Genomic DNA, 19,994 nt, shown 5'->3' on the forward strand with positions numbered 1-19,994 from the left:
AAAACAAAAATGTGTACTACATTGGCTGGGCCCAGTGTCTCATGCCTGTAATCCTGGCACTTTAGGAGGCCAAGGTGCATGGATTATTTGAGCCCAGGAGTTTGAGACCAACCTGGGCAACATAGTGAGACCTTGTCTCTACTAAAAATAAAAAAAAATAAAAATTTAGCCAGGCATGGTGGCCTGTGCCTGTAGTCCCAGGTAATTGGGAGGCTAAGGTGGGAGGATCACTGGAGTCTGGGAGGTTGAGGCTACAGTGAGCTGAGATCATACCACTGTACTTTAGCCTGGGCAACAGAGTGAGACCCTGTCTAAAACAAAACAAAACAAAACATTGTACTAAAACAAAACAAAACATTGTACTACAGGTACTAGCCAGTGAAATTAGGCAAGAAAAATAAGTAAAACGAACTCAGATTAGAAAGGAAGTAAGACAATCACTATTACACATGACATGATATTGTATACAGAAAATTCAGGGCCAAGTGTGGTAGCTCTCATCTGTAATCTCAGCAGTTTGGGAGGCTGAGGCAGGCAGATCGCTTGAGCTCAGGAGTTTGAGATCAGCCTAGGCAACATGGTGAAACCCCTTCTTTACAAAAAATACAAAAGTTATCCCACCATAGTGGCATATGCCTGTATTCCCAGCTAGTCAGGAGGCTGAGGCAGGAGGATCACTTGAGCCTGAGAGGTTAAGGCTGCAGTGAGCTGTGACAGCACCACTACAATCCAGCCTGGGCAACAAAGCAAGACCCTGTCTCAAAAAAAAAAATGTTACTAGAGATAAACAGAGATATTTTAAAATAATAAAAGGGTCAATCCATCAGAAAGATATGACATTTACACATATATTTGCACTTAATAACAGAGTACCAAAATATGTGAAACAGTAAATGACAGAAATAAATTATACTTTTTCAGTAGATTGATTGTATAATATGTGAATTACTTCTCAATAAAGTTGTTTTGTAAAATAAAAGCTAGAGTATTAGAATCAGTAAAAACTTCAGAATAAGAAATATAATCAGGGGCCAGGCACGGTGGCTCACGCCTGTAATCCTAGCATTTTGGGAGGCCGAGGTGGGCAGATCACCTGAGGTCACGAGTTCGAGACCAGCATGGCCAACAGGTTGAAACCCCATGGCTACTAAAAATACAAAAACATTAGCTGGGCGTGGTCACGGGCACTTGTAATCCCAGCTACTAGGGAGGCTGAGGCAGGAGAATCACTTGAACTCCAGAGGTGGAGGTTTCAGGGAGCTGAGATAGTGCCACATTAGGACACAAAAAGTATTAACCTCACTCTAGCCTGGGCGACAAGAGTGAGACTCCATCTCAAAAAAATATACATATATTTACATATTTTGTATATATTATATATATTTTTATGTATTTATATAATATATAAATATATAAATATTTCTTTCAAAGTTGTTATACCATTTACAGTCTCACCAGATTATATCTGCTGGTGAGATTATATATAAATATATGAATATTTTTATATATTTATATATTATTTTATATATTTTTATATATTTATATATTTTTAATCCTTGATTTTATATATATTTATATATTTATATATATTTTAAACAATGTATTTATATATTTTATAAATATATATTTTTAAAATATATTTTTATATATAAATTTTATAAATATATTTCTATATTTATATATATTTTATACTATTTTATCTATTTATATATTTATATATTTTAATCCCTGATTTTATATATATTATATATATATAAGATCAGGGACTTAAAAGGTTATTTTATAATAATAAAGAATGTTCATCAAGAAAACATAACAATCCTAAATATCTATGTATCCAAAACCAGAAATTCAATAGCCTGTGGCAAACCGAATCCTGTCAATGACCACTTGAGTGAACTTGGAATCATTCTGCCCCCAGTCAAACCTTCATGAGAACATAGCCCCAACTGACAGCTTGACTGCAACTTTATGAGAGACCTTGAGCCACAGGGACTCAGCTGATCCAAGGCTGGATTCCTGACCCACAGATACTATGAGATAATAAAGTCTGGTATTTTAAGGCACTAAATTTTGGGGGTAATTCAAGTTTATCCCAGGAAAACAACATTGGGTTAATATTTGAACATCAATAAATATAATTCAAAATATTAACAGAAAAAAGAGAAAATCCATATGATCAATTAAATATATGCCAAAAAATACTTGACAAAATTCAGCGCCCTCCCATGATAAAAACTCTTGGCAAACTTGGAATAGAAGGGAATTTCATCCACATGATAAAGGGCATCTACCAAAAACCCTACTCTTAATGTATTTAATGACGAAAATCTGAATATATTTCCCATAAGACCATAAACACAGCAAGGATGCCCTATGTCACTGCTGCTATTCAGCACTGTACTGTAAATAAAAATTGCTATTAAAAATACTATTTATGGCCAGGCGCAGTGGCTCATGCCTGTAATCCCAGTACTTCGGGAGGCCAAGGTGGGCGGATCACCTGAGGTCAGGAGTTCAAGACCAGCCTGGCCAACATGGCAAAACCCTGTCTCTACTAAAAATACAAAAATTAGTTGGGTGTGGTGGCACGCTCCTGTAATCCCAGCTACTCAGGAGGCTGAGACAGGAGAATTGCTTGAACTCAGGAGGCAGAGGTTGCGGTGAGCCGAGATCTTGCCATTGCACTACAGCCTAGGCAACAAGAGTGAAACTCTGTCTCAAAAAAAAAAAATGCTATTTATAAGAAAATCAAGTAAACCAGAAACATTTTAAGGGACAGATTTAGGAAAATATTTGCAAGAGCTGTACAATGCAAACTATAACTACATTGCTGAGCGAAATTAAAGAAGGTTCAAATAAATTTAAATACACACTATGGTCATGTATTGAAAGCTTCTATTTCAAGATGGCAGTTCTTTCCAAATTGATTCAGAGATTCAATGGAATCCTAACCAAAATCCTAGCTGGCTTCTTTAGGAATTGATAGGTTGATTTTAAAATGTATATGGAAATGCAAAGCACCTAGAACAGTCAAAATAATTTTGGAAAAAGGACAAAGTGGGAGAACTTGCACTACTTGATTTTACAATTTACCATTGAACTACAGAAATCAAGGCAGCATGGTACTGGCATAAGAACAGATACATAAATCAATGGAAAATAGAGAATCCAGAAATAGACCCACAGATATAGGGTCAATTGATTTTCAACAAAGATGGCAAGATAATTCAATGAGTACAAGATAGTATTTTTGATATATGATGCTGGGGCAGCTGGATGTCCACATGAAAAACACCTGAACAGTGACCCATATCCCACACCACATACAAAAGTTAACTTACAATGGGTCATAGACCTAAATGTGAAAGCTACAACTATAAAACTTCTAGACAATCACATGTGTTGTTTAGGAATTCTAAGAAAAGCTTCCAGAGTAAAATGTAGGAACAAATCTTTATGATCATGCAGTAGGAAAGATTTCTTAGGACACAAAACGTATGAACCTCAGAAGAAAAAAATTGATAGACTAGAATTAATTATAATATAAAATGTCTGCTCTTTGAAAGACATTGTTATAAAAATAAAATGTCAAGGCATAAACTATGAGATAATATTTGCAAAACTATTTCAGATACAAGACTTTTACCCAGAATATATAAAGAATTCTTAAAACTCCATAACATTGATTATAACAATATAGTCCAATAAAATACATCCATTATAGCTCAACAATAAAACATAAAAACCCAATTTAAAATGTACAAACAAAAGACACTTTATTTTTATTAGTAAAAAGATACACAGATGGAACATGACATGTTAAAAGATGCTAAACATCATTAGTCATCAGGGAAATGCAAATTAAAACCACAGTGGGATACCAATATACACATGAAATTAAAAAGACTGATAATCTAGATGTGAAAGTGCAGTGGGAAAAAATAAAACAATAGTAAAAAGTAAAAGACTGATAAGCCCAAAGGTTGAAAAGGATGTGGAAGAACTGGAAATCTCATACACTGCTGGTGAGATTGTAAATGGTATAACAACTTTGAAAGAAATTTAAGTTTCTTCTGTTTTTTGAGACAAAGAGTTTTGCTCTGTCACTCAAGTTGGAGTGCAGTGGCATGATCATAACTCACTGCAGACTCGAACTCCTAGGCTCCAGTAATCCTTTCACCTCAGCCTCCTGAGTAGCTGAGACTACAGGTGCAAGCTACTATGCCTGGCTTAACAGTTTCTTAAAAAGTTAAAAATACACTTCCCATACCACCCAGCAATCCAGCTCCTAGAAAGAGAAATGAAAGCATATGTCCGCACAAAGACTTGTAAACAGAAGACCATAGTAACTTTATTCATAATAGCCAAAAACTGGAAACATCTCAAATATCCATCAAAACGTGAATGAATAAAGAAACTATATACCTATACAGTGAAATACTACTAAGCAATAAAAGGAATAAGTTAGGCTAGGCGCGGTGGCTCACACCTGTAATCCCAGCATTTTGGGAGGCCGAGGTGGGCGGATCATGAGGTCAGGAGGTCGAGACCATCCTGGCTAACATGGTGAAACCCCATCTCTACTAAAAACACAAAAAATTAGCTGGCCATGGTGATGGGTGCCTGTAATCCCAGCTACTCGGGCGGCTGAAGCAGGAGAATGGCTTGAACCTGGGAGGCGGAGGTTGCAGTGAGCCGAGATTGCACCACTGCACTCCAGCCTGGGCAACAGAGCAAGACTCCGTCTCAAAAACAAAAACAAAAACACACACACACAAAAACAAAAACAAAAGAGGAATAAACTACTGACACAAAACAAATAAATCTCAAAAACTTTATGCTAGTAAAAGAAATCAGATGCAAAAGAGTATGTATATATGATTCTATTTATCTGAAACTTTAGAAAACAAAAACCTAATCTATAGTAACAGAAAGCATGTCAGCAGTTTCCTGAGGTCAGAGTTGGGGAGAATTGACCAGGATGGGGTATAAGGAAGGTTTCTGAGGTAGGAGAAATGTTCTACATCTTAATTCTGGTGATGGTTACGTAAGTGTACACATTTGTCAAAACTCATATAACTGTACAATTAAAATGGGTACAGTTTATTGTATGTAAACTAAATGTCAAGTTGATTTTTTAAAGTTAATTTCTCTTGAAATTAATAAAGAATTTTTAAAAGGGATGGAATGACAAATAAATATAGCAAAATCCTAGAATGTAGGTGGTATGCTTTGTAAAATTCCTTCAATTTCTCTGTACAGGCTGGGTGTGGTGGCTCATGCCTACAATCCCAACACTTTGAGAGGCCAAGGTGGGAGGACTGCTTGAGCTTAGAAGTTCAAAACCACCTGGGGAAACATAAGGAGACACCATCTCTACAAAAAAAAAAAAAAAAAATATATATATATATATATATATATATATACTTCTTAAAAAAATTAGCCAGGCATGGAGGTGTACGCTTCCAGTCTCAGCTACTCGGGAGGCTGAAGTGGAGGACTGCTTGAACCCGGGAGGTTAAGGCTGTAGTGAGCCATGATCATGCCACTGCACTCCAGCCTGGGCAAGAGAGTGAGACCCTGTCTCAAAAAACAAAACAAAACTCTATATGTTTAAAATTTAAGATGTTAGAAAAATTAAAATGTATAAAGTATACATTAAAAAATCTAAACAGTCAATAGAAAGGGGGAAAATGAAGAAATATGCCAGTTTTAACCAATAGAACAAGGTCCCTTGAGGAGGTAGGAATCTTTTTTCTTTCAATTGCCTTTTCCCCACTACTATCAGAATTACCTTTTTTTTTTTTTGAGATGGAGCCTTACTCTGTTGCCCAGGCTGGAGTGCAGTGGCATGAGCTCCGCTCACTGCAACCTTCGCCTCCCAGGTTCAAGCGATCCTACTCCTCAGCCCCCCCTAGTAGCTGGGATTACAGGCATGGACCACCATGCTTGGCTAATTCTTGTATTTTTAGTAGAGATGGGGTTTCGCCATGTTGGCCAGGCTGGTCTCGAACTCCTGACCTCAGGTGATCCACCCGCCTTGGCCTCCTAAAGTGCTGAGATTACAGGTGTGAGCCACTGCACCCAGCCCAGAATTATCTTTCTAAAACTCAGATCCGAATAGATTACTTCCACAGCGAAAAACCTTCAGAACAAAGTACAAACTCTTGAGCAAAGATACTCCAGGATTTTCCCATGTGGCTCCAACTTACATTTCGAACTTCATCATATTCTAAATCTTCCATGTACTGTGTCCCTGTTCCCTATTCTTTAACTATTTTCATTCATTTATATTCTCTGAACACCCTGGTTCATGCTACATCCCCTCCCTTCTCCACCTATAAAATCTATTTCAAAGCCCAACTCACATTTCACTTCTTGCATAATCTCTTCACCAATTTCCCAAAGCAAACAACACTTTGTCCATATCTCTATTCTAGTACTTATCTCTATAGTTGTTATTTCCGTGTCAGGCTTCCAGGCCAAATATAAGCTCCTGAAGACAGTGCTTATGCCTTTTTTTTAAGACAGTGTCTCGCCCTGTTGCCCAGCTGGAGTACAGTGGTGCAATCAGAGCTCACTGCAGCCTCAACCTCCTGGGCTCAAGTTATCCTCTTGCCTCAGCCTCCTGAGTAAGAAGGACTACAGGCATGCACCACCATACCTGGCTAATTCAAAAACAAAAACAAAAACAAAAACAAAAAAACTTTCGTAGAGACACGGTCTCACTATGTTGCCCAGGCTGGTCTCAAATTCCTGGGCTCAAGCAATCCTCTTGCCTTGGCGTCTCAAAGTGCTGGGATTACAGGCATGAGCCACCATTCCCACCCTTTCATTTATTTTTGCATCACCAAATCTTGTTAGGTGTCTGAATGTGATAAGGAAATTTTTATTGAATTAATAAATGAGTAAATGAATGACTAAAGAAATTGTAAGGTAAGACAATGAGTTTTACTGAAATGATATTTTAAATAAGAAATTCTATTTAAGCATTTACTTTTTAGAATGGAAAGATCCTAATGTTACAAAAAAATTCAAAACGCATTAATAAAAACAGAATTACCGCTTACCTCTGTATATTCATCAAAAGTATGATCTTCTGTCTGAAAAGTCTCTATATTCTCAACTGCAGTCCCATCAAGGAGCCAATTATATTTTTCAACTGAAAATTAATAATCTAATTAAAATCTCAATAATACCCTTTTTAGAAGATAAAACACTTTTTTTATATGATCATGGAATGGGGACCTACTCAATTAAATATTATTATTAATAGAGTATTAACATACATGATTTACTATATTTTAAGAAAATGGGTAGAATAAAAGGAAACCAAGTTAAACAGACATTTTAAAACAAAGGTATTAGAGTATTTGAGGCTTTTAAGAATAACTTAGGGGTACATATACACCAATTAATAGAAGATATTGGTTAATAGAATGTCAAAGAATAACCATACATCCTGACCTCACACACACTTGAGAAGACTACAGACCAATAAAATTGAGCTACAGGCTCTTTGAAACTATTCTCAGAAACTACCTTGCTTTTACCCTTGAATTATTCCCAACATTTCTTCTCTCTGCCTTTGACTTTATCACCCTGCTCCAGTTCATATGCACCCTTTGGACTGGACAACAAAATGTATTGGGTTTGATTCTTTTTTTTTTTTTTGAGACGGAGTCTCGCTCTATCGCCCAGGCTGGAGAGCAGTGGCGCGATCTCGGCTCACTGCAAGCTCCGCCTCCTGGGTTCACGCCATTCTCCTGCCTCAGCCTCCCGAGTAGCCGGGACTACAGGCGCCCGCCACGACGCCCGGCTAATTTTTTGTATTTTTTAGTAGAGACGGGGTTTCACCGTGTTAGCCAGGATGGTCTCGATCTCCTGACCTTGTGATCCGCCCGCCTCGGCCTCCCTGGGTTGGATTCTTGACTCTGCCAAAAGCTACGCCTATGCTCACTTCTGGCTCTCCCTGTTCTTTCATGGCAGCCCCAGACAAACAAACATCTGACCAAATTCTAGCACAAATAAAGTGATGACAAATGGTATAATATTATGTATGTCATACACACCATATGTCTCATAATGCTTTCTTGCACCTTCTAAGTTCCGATGTACTGCTGCCTTCAGTGTATCAACAGCCCAGTGTAACACGTGTTCAGGAAGTTCTGTGTCAAGATTTACTGGTGTTGAAGTTCCTGATAGCCAAGAGGGGATTGTTTGGACATTCTAACACAAATAAAAATAATAACAATGTATACAATAAATATCTAACTGTATAATTAATCTATATGTAGATCTTTTTTTTTTTCCTTTGGAGACGGAGTCTTGCTCTATCACCCAGGTTGGAGCGCATTGGTGCGATCTCGGCTCACTGCAACCTCCGCCTCCCAGGTTCAAGCGATTCTCCTGCCTCAGCCTCCTGAGTAGCTAGGATTACAGGCGCACGCCACCACGCCCAGCTAATTTTTGTATTTTTAGAGACGGGGTTTCACCATGTTGGTCAGGCTGGTCTCGAACTCCTGACCTCGTGATCCGCCCACCTCAGCCTCCCAAAGTCCTGGGATTACAGGCGTGAGCCATCATGCCTGGCCTATTTTTTGTATTTTAGTAGAGATGGGGTTTCACAGTGTTGGTAAGGCTGGTCTCGAACTCCTGAGCTCAGGCAATCCGCCCGCCTCATCCTCCCAAAGTGTTAGGATTACAGGCGTGAGCCATTGCGCCTGGCCTATATGTAGATCTTATACTATATTTTAAAACATTCTTTTCAGATTTCAATGGCCCAAGAAAAAATAACTTGACATAAAATAATAATTTAAAATTGTATAGTTTGTAGTCTAACATAAAACAAGTTGGGCCAGGTGCAGTAGCACATGCCTATTGTCCCAGCTACTTGGGAAGCTGAGGCAAGAAGATCACTTGAGCCCAGGAGTTCGAGGCAGCAGTGTGCTATGATCATGTCTGTGAATAGCCACTGCATTTCAGCCTAGGTAACACAGTGAGACCCTGTCTCAAACAAAACAAAACAAAACAAAGAAAACCTTAAGTTGGGTTAGTTTTCTATCATCCAACAAATATTTATTGACTAATTATTTACTGACAAATAAATATTTGTCAAATATTTATTTATTTATTTATTATTGGTTTTTTTTTTTTTGAGACGGAGTCTCACTGTGTCACTAGGCTGGAGTGCAGTGGGGTGATCTTGGCTCACTGCAACCTCCGACTCCCTGGTTCAAGGGGTTTTCCTGCCTCAACCTCCTGAGTAGCTGGGAGTACAGGCACGCGCCACCATGCCCAGCTAATTTTTGTATTTTTAGCAGAGATGAGGTTTCACCATGTTGGCCAGGATGGTCTTGATCTCCTGACCTTGTGTTCCGCCTGCCTCGGCCTCCTAAAGTGCTGGGATTACAGGCGTGAGGCACTGCGCCCGGCTGACAAATATTTATTGACAAAGTAATTATGCCAGAAAGCTCTAGAAAGAACAAATATCAATTAGATCTTGTTCTTAAGAAGCTCACAACTCAGAGGAGATGAGACATGCAAATAAAAAAATCAATTCATAGCTACAAGAAAAGTTCTAAGAAGGAAAATGTCATCTCCAGCCTTCAAGCGACTTTTTCAAAGAGAAAGCAATTTCTAATTTGAAATAATTGGGGGAGGAAAATAACAGAAAGAGTCATAACATTGTATGTACACATACACTGCATAGAGATTCAATTCAAATAATTTAAAATTCTTTCCCGATGGGTAAAGATGTAATACCTGCAGAGCTTCGGCTATTCGTTCCACCAAACTCAAGACATTATCTTCCAAATCTTGAAAGGTAGGATAAAATTCCATTTTGTCGTCATCAAATGTCAATTCTATCTTAAATATTGGCAGCCTTTGTTGATCTTTTGGGTCAAAGAGTTTTACAAATCCTTCTACAGTTCTCCTTAATAGATCCTTTAGCTGCGTGATATAAATCACTGTTACTTTAGAGAGTACAAATTCAACCTTTAACTAAAATCAGTAAACTGATTATAATTGTCTATATCTGATTATAATTGTCTATAATTAAAACATCCTATCAATCCATTTAATTGAAAATTATCTTCATTCAGCATACTATATATATGTGTGTATACATACATGCACACACACACACACACATATATATATACATATTTTTTTTTAAGACAGTGTCTCACTCTGTTGCCCAGACTGCAGTGCAGTGGTGCCATCATAGCTCACTGTAACCTTGAACTCCTGGGCTCAGGCAATCCTCCTGTTTCAGCCTCCTGAGTAGCTGGGACTACGGCGCGTGCCACCACACCCAGCTAATCAGCATGATATGTTCTTATTAATTTTTAATATTTGTGGGTACATAATAGGTGTATATAAGGGTTACATGAGATATTCTGATACAGGAATGTAATGTGCAATAGTCACATCAGGGTAAATGGGATTTCCATCACTTCAAGTATTTATCCTTTGTGTTACAAACAATCTAATTATACTCTTTTAGTTATTTTTAAAGGGATGATTAAATTATGTTTTGCTGTAGTTACCCAGTTGTGCTAGCAAATACTAGGTCTTATTCATTCATTCTTTTTTCTTTTCTTTTTTTCTCTCTTTTTTTTTCTTTTTTCTTTTTGTTTGTTTTGTTTGCTTTTTGTTTTTGAGACAGCATTGCCCAGGTTGGAGTGCAGTGGCAAGACCTCGATTCACTGCAACCTCTGCCTGCTGGGCTCAGGCCATCCTCCCACCTCAGCCTCCTGAGTAGCTGGAACTACATTCACAAGCTACCACGCCTGGCTAATTTTTGTATTTTTTGTAGAGACAGGGTTTTGTCACGTTGCTCATGGCTGGTCTCAAACTCCTGAGCTCAAGTGACCCGCCTGCTTTGGCCTCTCACAGTGCTGGGATTACAGGCGTGAGCCACCACACTCAGCTTATCCATTCTTTCCAACTTTTTTGTACCCATTAAACATCTCCACTTACCACACCCCCCACCCCCCGCCCACTTCTCCCACTACCTTTCCCAGCCTCTGGTAACCATCCTTCTACTCTTTATCTCCATTAGTTCAACTGTTTTAATTTTTAGCTCCCACAAATAAGTGAGAACACACATTAACAAAGGTAACCTAAAACAATAAATAGAACATTATATGCAAACCCTAATTTTGTTTTTGGTTTTGGTTTTTTGGTTTTTGTTTTTGTTTTGAGACAGAGTCTCACTCTGTCGGTCAGGCTGGAGTGCAATGGCACGATCTTGACTCACTGCAACCTCTGTCTCCCGGGTTCAAGCAATTCTCCTGCCTCAGCCCCCTGAGTAGCTGGGATTACAGGTGCCTGCCACCACGCCTGCCTAATTTTTGTAGTTTTAGTAGAGACAGGGTTTCACCATGTTGGCCAGGCTGGTCTCGAACTCCTGACCTCAGGTAATCCACCCACCTTGGCCTCCCAAAGTGCTGGGATTACAGATGTGAGCCACTGCGCCGAGCCTGTTTCTGTTTTTTAAGACTGGGTCTTGCTCTGTTGCCCAGGCTGGAGTGCAGTGGCACAATCATAGTTCACAGCAGGCTCGAGCTCCTGGGATCCTGGGCTCAAGCAATCCTCCCACCTCAGCCTCCTGAGTAGCTGGGACAATAGGCATGAGCCACCATTCCTGGCTAATTTTTAATTTTTTTTCTAGAGACAGTGTCTCACTTTGTTTCCCAAGCTGGTCTTGAACTCCTGGGCTCAAGTGATCCTCCCACCTCAGCCACCCAAAGTGCTGAGATTACAGGCGTGAGCCACCACACCCAGCCAAACCTTAATTTTTTAATAGAATATCAACAATCTTAAAATGGTGACTCAGAACTTTTCACATTCTTTAGTAATTCTGTCCCTGGTACAGAAAATGTTCCAGAAGATCAAACAACATGGTAAAGACTGAAGGGAGGGGAGGTCTGACAGCCAGAGGTAAGTGTGTAATGGGGGGACATGCACATGGAGTGAGGTACAGTGAAATGCTAGAACTAGCTCCTGTTCTCTCAAGAGCCAATTGTTAAATACTCAAGAATTTTGTGAGCCAGTTGCTAAACTCTTAGAAGCTCGAAATTTACCACTGTGGGAATATTTACACCACAGAAGTCGACAAACACTACAAATCAGGGTAATTATCTTTTTCTTTTATTTGTTTATTCATTTATTTATTTATTTACTTATTTATTTATTATCTTGAGACAGAGTCTCACTCTGTTGCCCAGGCTGGAATGCAGTGGCACAATCTGGGCTCACCACAACCTCCGCCTCTCGGTCTCAAACTATTCTCGTGCCTCAGCCTCCTGAGTGGCTGAGATTACAAGCATATGCCACCACACCTGGCTAATTTTTGTATTTTTAGTAGAGAGGAGGTTTTGCCATGTTGGCCAGGCTGGTCTTGAACTCCTGAGCTCAAGTGATCCACCTGCCTGGGCCTCCCAAAGTGCTGGTATTAGAGGTGTGAGACACCGTGCCCAGCCTCAGGGTGATTTTCTTTCCTGGAGAGCCATATTTCTAGCACACTACTGGGTGAAGGTAAAGCCACTGGAACTTAGAAACATGCACAAGGAGCTTCTAAAGTACGAATAATGGTTTCTTATAGAGAACCAACTGTTGGGAATTTAGCCCAGCAAACAAACATGGTTCTAAATGATCTTCAAGACATTCCTCATCTCTTTACTTTTATTAAATAATCACAGTCCTCTTAAGAGGGTAAAGGTAGAAAGGAAACCATGTGTATTAGTTACAGCATTACATACTAGATATTAAATATGTATATTATCCTTTTAAATATGCTAGACAAAATTCATGGAATTGTTGGAGGTCTTTACTGAAAGGGAAAGTTTTTCTTCAAAACTATTTTTCTAGAATTGTATATCTTCAACAGTAAAAATTTGAGGAGGCCATAAATATAATTTCATAAAATTAAAAATTCCCTATTTGTCATTTAAAGATGATCAATAACTTTAAAAATTTTTTCCACCAGATACCTCTTATACAATGATCAATAACATTTTAAACCAAGATTTTACTGAGAACAAAATGAGAATCAATCAACTTGGAATCTAATAAATTCAAAAATATGTTACTAGAATAGTTCTTTTGTTAACATACTCCAAATAAAGCTATAATTAACTTATATATCCTTTAGGCATGAGCCAAGTAATTACTCATAATACTAATATATACTTCTAGATTTCCTTTCATTTTAGATAGTTTCAGAAACACAATATTTTTCTGCTAAAATTATTAAAATAAAATTACAGTAGAAATATTTTATTTCAAAATAATTACTTAGCACTATGTTTACGTAGAATTCTATTTAAAATATTGAACTAATTTTAATAACATTATCATTTAATATATATAAAGTGTATGTACCTGATTTGACATAAGTGTGGAAACACAGCTATAAAATGCATCCAATTTTTCAGGTTTAACACCTTCTAGTGCCTCCTTCTTGGTAAAGAGATTTATAACCTTTGGATACCATGTATTCATTATCTTCTCTTCTGCGTTTCTAGTTTGTATTGATAGATCAGTTTTCAGTGATTCACAGTCAATTGGACCTTTAGCTCTATTTATGAGAAAAAGAAATGTGATTTGAAGCAAATGATACATATTGGTCTTAAAACACAATTGTTGGGCCGGGCTCGGTGGTTCACACCTGTAATCTCAGCACTTTGGGAGGCTGAGGCAGGCAGATCACGAGGTCAGGAGTTCAAGACCAACCTGGCCAACATGGTAAAACCCCATCTCTACTAAAAATACAAAAATTAGCTGGGTGTGGTGGTGTATGCCTGTAATCCCAGCTACTCGGAAGGCTGAGGCAGGATAATTGCTTGAACCAGGGAGACAAAGCTTGCAGTGAGCCAAGATCGCACCATTGCACTCCAGCCTGGATGACAGAGCAAGACTCCATCACGGGAAAAAAAAAACAAAAAAAAAAAAAACCAAAAAAAACCCACACAATTGTTGAAACAAACAAGATACATTTTTTTAAACTCTAAAATCTAGAGAAAAGTGTTGAAGATTTAGGATTCCATTTTAAAAATTATACAGTCAAAAATATAGACTCAAGCAAGGAGACATTCAAATTTTAAATTAAACGGGATTTTACCTAATTCCTGTGAAGTCCAACAAAACTGTATCAGCAAATGTTGTATAACCAAGGTCCAGTAACATTTTCATAGTTGGATGAATAATGTGCAAATTAGAGAATATTTGATTTCTTGCCTGCACATAGCTAGAATGCCAAGGATTAGAATAATCTAGGCCTCTGGAAAAGCAAAACACCATATCAAACATGATGAAAATAATACACCCTAAACTTTAGGAAATAATGCTTATAACATGAAATTAGTATTGAAGTGAGAAAACTGGGGCTTGAGAAGAGGGAGCTGTGGTCAGCAATGGGAACCTTAAGATATATGCATTTAATAAAAACACATCAAGAACTCAAAACTGCATTATCTTCAGAGAGAACAGAAATAATTTGTGAGTAAGGCAGAGTGATGGGCCAGATCTGAGAGCTCTGCTAACTTCCACTGTGCTTTGGCTCAGTTATCCTGGTAAAAATGAAAGAACACAGTCTTTAGGACTAAAGAAAAGCGCTGGAGAAATCTGTCTGCCATACCCCAAAGCTTACTCAAGGCTAAGTTAAGCTATGCATTCATAAAGATCTCCCCAGTTATGTATGCAGAACTAAATGAGCATAGTAGAGAGAATACCTCTGAGGTAAAAACAAGAGTACTTTTTTTTTAGATGTGTTCAAAATACCTTTGAGCATCACAATTGTATACTTGAAGGTAAGATCAGTTTATTTTTTATCTATATCAAAAATTGGATGAAGTACTGTTTTTAAAATAATTTACTCACACAGGAGATTCAGGTAAAGGACCTCCTTCATCTTCAAGCGATTTAACTGGTGGTTTCACAAGAACGCTCTGCACTAAAATACATGGATATATTAATGCTTCTTGAAAATCTCTGCACAATCTATTAATATCAAAGTTTCTAACTTTTGATTTTGGATGGTATAGTTTACTGTGCATTAAAAGGAATGTAAGAAAAAACTCCTTTATTTGAAACAAAATCAAGTTCTTGGTAGTATTTTGGCCTTACTTGAGAGTTCAGATAACGAAAAGCTTTAATAAGATCTCAGTTTTTCACATTCCATCTACTCAAAAGTCACTAGCATGGCCACTTAAAAAAATGCATTTCATGGTGGCTACCAGGGGCTGGGAGGATGTTGGTCACAGGCTACAAAATTTCAGTTAGATAGGAGGGAACAAGTTCAAGAGATTACGCGACATGGAGGCCGAGCGCGGTGGCTCATGCCTGTAATTCCAGCACTTTGAGAAGCCAAGGAGGGCAGATCACCTGAGGTCAGGAGTTTGAGACCAGGCTAGCCAACATGGTGAAACCCCATCTCTACTAAAAATACAAAAATTAGCTGGGCATGGTGGCAGGCGCCTGTAGTCCCAGCTACTTGGGAGGCTGAGGCAAGAGAATCGCTTGAACCTGGGAGGTGGAGGTTGCAGTGAGCTGAGATTGCACCACTGCACTCTATTCTGGGCGACAGAGTGAGACTCCATCATAAAAAAAAAAAAAAAAAAAAAAAAAAAAAGAAAGCAATTATACAACATAGTGACTAGTTAGTAACAATTTATTGTACCCTTGAAAATTGTCAAGAGTAGATTTTATGTTCCCACCACACACAAAAAATGATAAATATGTGAAAAAAATGCATCAGTTAATTAGCTCAATTTAGCTATTCCACACATATTTCAAAACGTATTGTACATGATAATTATATACAATTTTTATTTGTCAATTTTTAAAAAGGAAAAAAGTTTATTCTAAAAAATAGCAAAGATTATACCCCTAATAAATCTCCCAAAACATATTAGTATTTTCTAGCAAACCTATAAATAGTATAGCTAAAATCATAAAGACAAAGTAAAAAATCAAAGAGAAGTTAGCTAATAAAAAAAATACAAAAAGTACCCTTAAATTGTAAGGATTTTGACTTAAGTATAGACTCAAAATAAAAACTTTAAATAAAAATCGTATCTAAGAAATACATATAGTTAAGGCTGGGCTGAGTGGCTCAGCGTGTAATCCCAGCACTTTGGGAGGCTGAGGTGGGTGGATGGCTTGAGCCCAGGAGTTTTAGACCAGCTTGGTCAACATGGTGAAACTACATCTCTACCAAAAAATAAAAAAATTAGCTGGGCATAGTGGTGTGTGCCTGAAGTTCCAGGTACTCGGGAGGCTGAGGTAGGGGAATCGCTTCAACTCAGCAGGCGGAGGCTGCAGTGAGCCGAAATAGCACCACTGCACTCCAGCCTGGGCGACAGAGATCATGTCTCGAAGAAAAAAAATAAAAAGAAAAGAAGAAAAAAACCAGATATAGTTTAAATACATAGTGTTCATTACTCATTTTGCTTATTTCTATTTTTGATTCAGTGGGGACGGGGGGAGGCCAAGGTGAAAGAAGCCTGGTGTGTGTTAGATGCTACTTACCCAAATATCTCTTCATGCTGTTTTCAAAGTCACTTGACACCTCATTTATGAGACTTTCAAGAAGTTCTTCTCTTTCTTTCCCTTCCTTTAAAGACTCAGGTATCAGCCTTAACATGTGATCCAGCCATTCCTGCTGAATAGGTACTAAAGGACTACTTTCTACACATTGCTTCATATAAATATAGTTGAACTGAGAACATAAGAAAAAATTAAATGTTCTGCATGGTTGTATCATTTCAGTGTAACTCCTGAACTCTCCCTTCCTAAGACAACATTTTTTCAGATTAAAAATATTCTGAAAAATAACATTTTCAGAATAAAAACCATTTAATCCAAAAGTACATCCCACAAAGAAACCATTTTATCTTTTTCTTTATTTATGATGAATTCTTGCCAAATTAATATTCTTAGTATGGTTTTCATTTTCTCAAGGCAAAATGAAGATTCTTTACCTAACTTATTATTCCTTATTATCTAACTTATTATTATAATATATCCACCGATTCAACAAATATTCAGACATTGTTCTAAATGCTGGGTATATAGTAGCTGAACAAAACAGACAAAGCCCATGCTCTCTTGAGATTATATTCCAGTACAATAGTAGTATAATATAATTTCATAAATTCTCCCATAAGAATGAATAGTCTCACTAAAAATAGACACGAATGAATGAAAAGACACTTGATCTTAGTAAAGACATTTTAACATCATGAAAATTTCACTTTTCCCAAAATTGATTTAACACAATACCAATAAAATTATCTACATACATTTTTATGGAATTAGATAAGTTGATCCTAAAGTTCATGTGGAAAAATAAACATGCAAGAATAGCCAAGAAAACCCTGAGAAAGAAAATCTGCAATGGAGGGCTAGCCCTAGGAGACATTAGAACATACCAGAAAGCCTGGTGTAGCACAGGTGTATGGATAGACAGACCAGTAGAAAACAACAGAAAGTCCAAAAATACACCAGTATATCAGAAAATTTAGCATATGATAAACATGGCATCTCAAATCACTGGGAAAAATATGAAGGTTTTAATAACTATTTCTGGAACAACTGGTTAGCCATTTGGAAAAAGATAAAATAATTCATACCTTCCACCATACATAAGAACAAACTCCAGGATTTAACTTAAACAATGAAACTATACAAGGATCAGGAAGAAAAACATAGATGAAGTCTTTTATAACTTGAGTATAGGAAAAACCTTCCTAGCTATGATTCAAATACTAGATACAAAAAAGGAAACAAGTAATAGATTAATTTTTACTACATAAAAACATAAATGTTTGCATAACAAAAACAATTTAAAATGTCAAAAGACAATTGACAATCTGGCAGAAAATATTTGCAACATACATCTCAGACAAAGTGTAAAGAATGCTTTAAAATTTAGGGGATGGGTGAACCTTAAGGACATTATGCTAAGTGAAATAAGCCAATCACAAGAAAACAAGTATTGCATTATTCCACTTATATAAAGTAAATAGAGCAGTTAAATTTATAGAAACAGAAAACAAAATAGTAGTTGCCAGGGGCTACAGGGAAGAGGAAATGAGGAGTTGTTATTTAATAAGTATAGAGTTTCAGTTTTGAAGATGAAAATGTTCTGGAGATTCGCTGCACAAGAATGTGAAAATACTACTAAACAGTGCTTGCTTTGGCAGCACATATACTAAAATTGGAATGATACAGAGAAGATCAGCATGGCCCCTGTGCAAGGATGGACACAAATTCGTGAAGCATTCCATATTTTTGAAACAGTAGATGCTGGCGAGGCTGTGGAGAAATAGGAACACTTTTACGCTGTTGGTGGGAATGTAAATTAGTTCAACCATTGTGGAAGACAGTATGGCGATTCTTCAAGTATCTAGAACCAGAAATACCTTTTGACCCAGCAATCCCATTACTGGGAATACACCCAAAGAAATATAAATTATTCTACTATAAAGACACATGCACACATATGTTTACTGCAGCACTACTTATAATAGCAAAGTCATGGAACCAACCCAAATGCCCATCAATGATAGACTGGATAAATAAAATGTGGTACATGGCCAGGCATGGTGGCTCACACCTGTAATCCCAACACTTTGGGAGGCCGAGGCGGGTGGATCATGAAGTCAGGAGTTCAAGACCAGCCTGGTCAAGATGGTGAAACCCCGTCTCTACTAAAAATACAAAAAAATTAGCCAGGCGTGGTGGCAGGCACCTGTAATTCCAGCTACTTGGGAGGCTGAGGCAGAGAATTGCTTGAATCCAGGAAGCGGAGATTGCAGTGAGCCGAGATCGCACCACTGCACTCCAGCCTGGCAACAGAGTGAGACTTCATCTCAAAAAAAAAAAAAAATGTGGTACATATACACCATGGAATACTACACAGGCATAAAAAGGAATGAGATCATGTCCTTTGCAGGGACATAGATGAAGCTGGAAGCCATCATCCTCAGCAAACTAACATAGAAATGGAAAACCAAACACCGCATGTTCTCACTCATAAGTGGGAGGTGAACAATGAGAACACATGGACACAGGGAAGGGAGTAACACAAAACAAAGCCCACTGGGGGATGGAGGGCAAGGAGAGGGATCCTAGAGAGTGGGTCAATAGGTGCAGCAAACCACCATGGCACACGTATACCTATGTAACAAACCTGCACGTTCTGCACATGTATCCCGGAACATAAAGTAAAATTTAAAAACTTATAATAAAAAAAATACTACTAAACTGTACCCTTAAAAATGGTTAAGATGGTTTTATGTTATGTGTATTTTATCACAATTTATAAACATTTAGGGGGAAATAACATCAAAACTACAACAGAAAAATGGGCAGAAGATATAAACTAACATTTCACAATAAAAATATAATTAAAATGGCACTTAAACCATATTTTAAACGTATAATCTTATTCATAATTACAGAAAGCAAATTTAAACTACCCTGAGATACCATCTGTCACATATCAGATTGACAAAAATTTTTTTTTAAATATGACCCCCACATTCTTTTGTGAAACTATGGGGAAGCAAACACTCTCATAAATTGCTAGCACATTTTGGAAAGAAATTTTGCAATATCTAATAAGACTACATATTGAAGTCCCACTTAGAGAAATTAAAACAATACCTCCAGCAGTATGAAAGCATACATATACAAGGTATTCATTGCAGCAAAATACTGGAAACATTTAAGAGTGGCTGATGCATACATTCGTGTTCTGTGCAGCAATAGTGAAAAATGAGAAAGATCTCTAAAAACTGATATGGAGCGATTTCTAGGATACATTATTAAGTTAAAAACAAAATGCGGCCGGGTGCAGTGGCTCACGCCTGTAATCCCAGCACTTTGGGAGGCTGAGGCGGGCGGATCACCTGAGATCAGGAGTTTGAAACCAGCCTGGCCAACATGGTGAAACCCCGTCTCTACTAAAAATACAA

At 37.6% G+C, this 19,994-nt stretch overlaps 1 protein-coding gene and 1 pseudogene across 10 annotated transcripts in view; one reads left to right on the top strand and one right to left on the bottom strand.

Annotated features, from left to right (window-relative positions):
- Positions 1-19,994, bottom strand: part of DNAH12 (dynein axonemal heavy chain 12) — a 262,335-nt gene that overhangs the window by 200,548 nt on the left and 41,793 nt on the right. For 8 of the 10 annotated variants that reach the window (XM_047447667.1, XM_011533468.2, XM_047447668.1 and 5 more), the window contains 7 exons: positions 16,543-16,732; positions 14,893-14,965; positions 14,135-14,293; positions 13,396-13,591; positions 9,769-9,957; positions 8,076-8,232; positions 7,074-7,165 (listed from right to left, as the gene is read on the bottom strand). In XM_047447667.1, the coding sequence (XP_047303623.1) occupies positions 7,074-7,165; positions 8,076-8,232; positions 9,769-9,957; positions 13,396-13,591; positions 14,135-14,293; positions 14,893-14,965; positions 16,543-16,732 (1,056 nt within the window). Of the gene's footprint in view, positions 1-3,753; positions 4,292-7,073; positions 7,166-8,075; positions 8,233-9,768; positions 9,958-13,395; positions 13,592-14,134; positions 14,294-14,892; positions 14,966-16,542; positions 16,733-19,994 lie in introns of those variants that run through there. The other 2 variants (NM_198564.4, XM_047447669.1) reach the window with 2 other exon arrangements.
- Positions 18,203-18,308, top strand: RNU6-1181P (RNA, U6 small nuclear 1181, pseudogene; annotated as a pseudogene).

The sequence above is a fragment of the Homo sapiens genome, chromosome 3 (genome assembly GCF_000001405.40).
Source record: "Homo sapiens chromosome 3, GRCh38.p14 Primary Assembly".
NCBI lineage: Eukaryota > Metazoa > Chordata > Mammalia > Primates > Hominidae > Homo > Homo sapiens.